Here is a 6,000-nt window from a genome sequence, read left to right on the forward strand (position 1 = left end):
CAGCTACTGGGGAGGCTGAGGTAGGAGAATCACTTGAACCAGGGAGGCAGAGGTTGCAGTGAGCCGAGATTGCACCACTGCACTCCAGCCTAGTGACAGAGCAAGACTCCATCTCAAAAAAAAAAAAATAATAAAGTTTATAAAGTAAGAAAGTTACAGTAAGTTAAGGTTAATCTATTAGTGAAGAAAGAGAAATATATTTTTATCAATTTAGTGTAGCCTAAATGCACAGTGTTTACAATTTGCAATTATAAATTGCAGTAATGTCCTAGGCCTTCACATGCTCTCACCACTCACTCACTGACTCCCCAGAGCAACTTCCAGTCCTGCAAGCTCCATTCGTGGTAAGTGCCCTATACAGGCGTACCGTTTTTATACTTTGTGCTTAATTTTTACTGCACTTTTTTTATCTTTAGATATGCTTAGATACACAAATGCTATTGTGTTAACAGTTGCCTATGATATTCAATACAGTAATATATTGCGCAGGTTTTCAGCCTAGGAGCAATAGGCCATACCATGTACCCAGGTGTGTAGTAGGCTACACCATCTAGGTCTGTGTAAGTGCACTCTAGGATGCTTGCACAATGACAAAATTGCCTAACAACACATTTCTCAGAACGTATTCCTGTTGTTCAGCAACACGTGACTGCAAATGTCCATTCTGAGTTAAAGGATCAGCCATAGGATTTCCCAGATCTGCCCTATTAGTCACATCCTCTCTTTCCCCATACAAACACCATGTGCCAAAATCATGTCCACAAGGGAGAGTAGCAGAACAGAAACTGAAGTGCCACTTTTGCTAATAGAGATGAGGAGGGCCAGTGTCATAAAGCATCAGCTAAAGTGTTTCTTGTGTTTCCCTGTACTCCTTATCCTTACCCATTTGGGCCACACTGAGACCTCCATTACTCCAGGGGCAGTCCTGATGTCAGAAACAGCAAAGCAAGGCATCAGATTCTTAAATAATTCTAATTTTGGAATATCTTGGGTGCCTTCTGCAGCAGGAGAAAGCCGTCTTTCTGACAACTCCTTTCTTATGATATTGGGATGTGTTTCTAGAGCCCAGATTCCTTCTGTTGTTTCTTGCTCTCTTCAAGCAGTCCCAGCTGAGTTTAAAAATTGGCCAGCTTGTCAGCTGGTCCTACTTTCTTTCTAGCAAATGTAAGGCTAACACTGGATACTGGACCAGACTGCTCTCTACTTCTTTTATTTTTGCTTTTGGAATTAAACATTTCTTTTCTTAACATAATCATCCATAATTTACCTTCTGGGGTTCTCCCCAGTATGAAATATACACGTAGAACAAGTTCTCAGTCCATTTGAGAACATCTATTTCACAAACAAATTCTACCCACTTCTGCACTTCTTCATATCTAAATGAGGTAATTTTATCTAGGAAACATCTTCCCATTACCCCATCATCTGACCCAGGCTGGGACTACATTGCTGTGCTTCACCCTGGCTTGACTTTAACTGGGCTTTTTCTCCTCTTCCCTGCCTCTCTGAGCAGCCCTGATTCCCATAAGCAAAGTGTCCAGGCACACCTACATTTTGCTTCTAGACTTTGACTTTATAATATTTACACATGAGTCAGGACAGGCTAAGCTACACTGCACATCTTAGGGACTTGCAAGATAAAGGTTATTTTTCACTCACATTGTATGTCTTTTGTGAGTTGCTTCTGTTGCATGCCATCTTCATTTTTGGACCAGCTAGTGAAGCAGCCTCCACCTGAAATATTGCCAGTTGCTGGGGCAGAGAGAAACGAGACACAGAGAATCACGTGCTGACTCTGAAAGCTTCTCTGTGAGTAACATGCATTGCATCTGCCCTTATTTCATTGGTTAGTGAAAGTCACAGGACCACTTCTGAGTTCAACTGTGTAAGACTAGAATGCTCCCACAGAAGCATCTAAGGACGAAAGTTAAAATATTTAACCTACGAGAATACAATTGATCAGAATGCACCTTGACTCAGAATGACATAGTCCTTGTATAATAAGTCCCTAGGCACCTTCATCTGTTTCTTGATAAAATAAATTCCATCACCCATAGTGACTGAAACCACAGTTTGATTCATGAAATTTTGAACACACTAAAGGGTTAAATAATCAGCAACCCCAAGTCAAGCGGATACATGAAGAGAAGGAGGAGGTAAATCCAAGACTGCACAAGCCAAATGAAGCCAAGAAGTGAGTCTCCCCACGGCTCCTTTCTTGGCTCTGCAGACACAATCTGGGGATACAGATCCAGGGCCACCTGCCTCTGTGCAACACTAATGAGCCGAAAGCCCTGAATGTCACACACTTGAGCTCCAAGGCGGATGTGTATTGTAGCTGCTTTTTGTAGTTTAATGTCCCTGTGTGCTCTCCTGGCTGAGAAACAGATTAAAGGGGAAAACAAGCTGTGATAGCAAAACAACATTCTCCCCACGGCCGCCTGAAGGCCTGTTGGAAGCTCTGCCTTGTTTTGAAGGCATTCTTAAGTGGAACTAAGAGAATCTCATTTCCCAATAATCTCATCACAGCCGCAGCCACCCATCAGCCTCCACCACTCACTGCATAGTGACAAGTGGGCCTCCCCTGAAGTACGCTGATCCTCAAGTGCTGGTTTTGCCGGTGTCCTTACTTGGCCAGGCACCAGCAAGGCAGAATTCACAACCCACTCCTCATCCTTTCTTTCTCCAGCATTCCCTCTGGAGGGGCCAAGGATCAATAACCAAACAAGGAGCATGCCAATGTCATAAACAGCTAAGCCTATCATTTATCATCTAAACAAGAATGCTTTTGAGACCAAAGAAGTTTGCTAAATTAAATGGGGTATATAAATTGAAATATTCACTGACCCTCAAATAGTTTTATGATGATAAGTTTATAAAATAGTTCTCTGAAACCTATTTTTAAAAATAAATTAATTTCTAACAAATAAAAATAACACAGTCTCATGTACATGAAATAAAATTTTTTGAAAACTTTTATATTGTTTGAGCATTTAAAATAATGTAAGCAAAATGATGATTGTTAGTACATATTCACTTACTGTAATCTGCTTCTCAGCCACATCTGTTCTCTGCCACTGATATTTTTCTAAAAAACTTATCCTTTAAAATGATTTGATTTTTTTCCAAAACTTGTTTAAGTGTGCCTTTTATGGTTAGTAAATTTAAAATTCTTCGTATGTTCACTTGACTCTTCTCTGTACACCATGATGTATATTTAAATTGAGAAAATGCTGTCTTTATATAGGCACTAAAGTGCATCATTTAATGTGCTTATTGGACATTTGTACGTCTTTTGAAGAAATGTCTACTCAATTTGCCCCATTTTTCAATTGAGTTTTGGTTGTGATTGTTGTTGAATTGTAGAAGTTCTTTATGTATTCTGGATATTAACCCCTAATTGGAAACAAAATTTGTGAATATTTTCTCCCATTCTGTGGGTTGCCTTTTTACTCTGTTGTGTCCTTTGATGCATAAAGATTCTTAAATTTGATGTAGTTTAATTTAGTTTTTCCTTTTGTTATCTGTTAAAATTAATTTTAAAAGATAAACTCTTTAAATAATAGGTATCTATGATTCTTTTAAAAGAAATTAAAATTTAGATGATGTAAAATTAGTAGATTTTACCTACAAAGCAAGGTATTGCAAAATATAATAATAGAATTTCAAAATGAAATGTTACACTCCTTTTGAGCTCTCAATGTTTAGTTTTTTCAGTTTCTCTATTGCTTTATTAAGGAAACATTTCAACAGTTTTTTGCCTGCAAATATTGTTTTCAAACTGCAGTTTTTTAAAAAAAACTTCAAATGCTGAGATTGGGGGGGCTACATTTGTTAAATATTTGGAACAAAATGCAGACAGATTTTAGATTACTTAATCACACAAACGTTCAATACCATTTGCAAGACACTACTTAATTTGATGTACAAAGTAATTCTTCAAAGGCTCAAACATTTCTAAACTTCAGTTGATGATGGGCAGCAAAGGATAAAAATCTGTATGCCTTTTCATTAGTGTTTTTAGTTTTCACTCTCAGCTTACATACACACATACAATGCAGTTCAATTGTACTGGTATATACAAAAATTTTCACAAGTAGAGATGTTATTTTGATTGCAACATGTTTGAATGCAATTGTGAATTATGTTTTTCTTAATTTAGTAAGAATTTTTTTTTACCATGAGTGCACTGCATAAAAATTTGTATTTATATTAGTACAGCAAAAGACAAATAACTTATCCCTTTCTTAGTTGAATTTCCTTGAGAAACAGACACCGAGGCTAGGATTGAGTGCACGTAGTTCATTCAGAGGTTCAGGAAACCATCAGGAGAGTGGGAAGATGACATTAGAAGTGAAGGCAGCCAGTAACAGGCTGTTCCTAAGCTAGCTAATATGGTGGGCTTAGCCTTGTAGGAAGCTCTGGGTATCGCTGTAAAACACACTATCCCAGGCAAGGGGCCAGGGAGCTGGGGCATTGATACCCCTCTTTCCTTTTAATTATTGGCTAAGAAATGCTCCTGAGGGTAGTGCCCTAAGTACTGCTGGCCTTATAGGTGTGGCAAAGTGAGTTAGAACAGCTGTGAATAGCAGTCTACTGACAAATACACATGTACCAGCTAGAGCATAAACTGAGAAGGTTTGAGCAGGGCATTCACCGACCAATTTTGCTTCAATTTTTGTTGTTGAATTTGTATCAGTCTAGATCAATCAGGAAGCAAAAAACACCCAGTAGCTTAAATAAAAGAAGTTTTATACAAGGGTCAGCAAACTGTCCACAGGCCAAAATTGGACCTGCTTTTATAAATAAAGTGTGATTGCAACACAGCCACACCCATTCATTTGCATATTGTCTATGGCTGTTTTTGTGTTACAACAGCAGCGGTGAGTAGTCATGACACAGATGTATGGCCCACGGAGTCCACAATATTTACTATTTGGCCCTTTACAGAAAAAGTTTGCCTACTCATAATTTAATACAAAGAATGAATAAGCTATGGTAGGACAATAACTATGAAGATTCAAAGAGAAATCTAAAGTGCAGAGGGAAATATATAAAAAAGAACAACTTTGGGGGGCCCCTCCCCAAGGGTAGGTTCAGAATTCATTGAAGAGGGTGTGGACAGTGGAGAGGTTGCTAGGTTGCCCAGGCCAGAGCTGGCCCACAGTGGCCAGGCAAGCAAGAACAAACGTTTATGTGCAGATGAGCCAAGGCTGGTGGGCCAGTGGGCAGAGTCTGGGTGCCACCACAGGAGCGAGGCCTGGGGCATGTCGTGTTTCAATCTGGGAGGGGGGGGGAACAGAGTCAACCCTCCAGGCCAAAGGTGAGCCAAGGCTGATGGGGGGCACACAGAGGGAATCAGGCACCCTGAGGGAAGCAGGGCACTGCTGAAGTTGCTACTGGAACTGGGAGCTGAAGTGACCACCTTGTGTGGGAATCTACTGCACTATGTGTAAGGCTTGGGTTGGGCTCCATGGCTGGCTGGATGGGATAAAGGTCAGGCAGCTCACTAGATGACCATCCCCATGTGACCACACATGTGCACATGGTTGGGGCTTAGGAAGGAGTGCAGGGAGCAGCGAGCTGGGTAGGCCACACTCTCAGTGGCTCCTGACTGCAGTGCCACTGCTTGAATTGAGGGTTGCAGAAAGCTCCTGGCAAATGCAAGAGAAAGCTGTACCTGTAGGAACCTAGCAGTGAAGAAACAGAAAAAAAAGTGCCCCATCCAGAAGTGGGTAAGTCACACTGGAACCAGGAAGGAAACCCCTTCCTCCTGCAATGTCTCTCCAGTGGTCTCTACTTACAAAGCTTAACATTGTGCCAGCCAGCAAAGGAAAACGTATACAAGGCCCAGATCTATTATCAGTGAGCAGGCAAAAATATGAATCTGGAGCTTAGAGGCAAGAAATTGACAAGAAGCAAAAAGTTGACTCTTCTTCAGTAGCTGAAAATTTAGTACTTAATTTTTCATTAAATATGTACCTTCAATATTTTAAGCAA

This window comes from Homo sapiens, chromosome 7, assembly GCF_000001405.40.
Source record: "Homo sapiens chromosome 7, GRCh38.p14 Primary Assembly".
In the NCBI taxonomy this organism is placed as follows: Eukaryota; Metazoa; Chordata; class Mammalia; order Primates; family Hominidae; genus Homo; species Homo sapiens.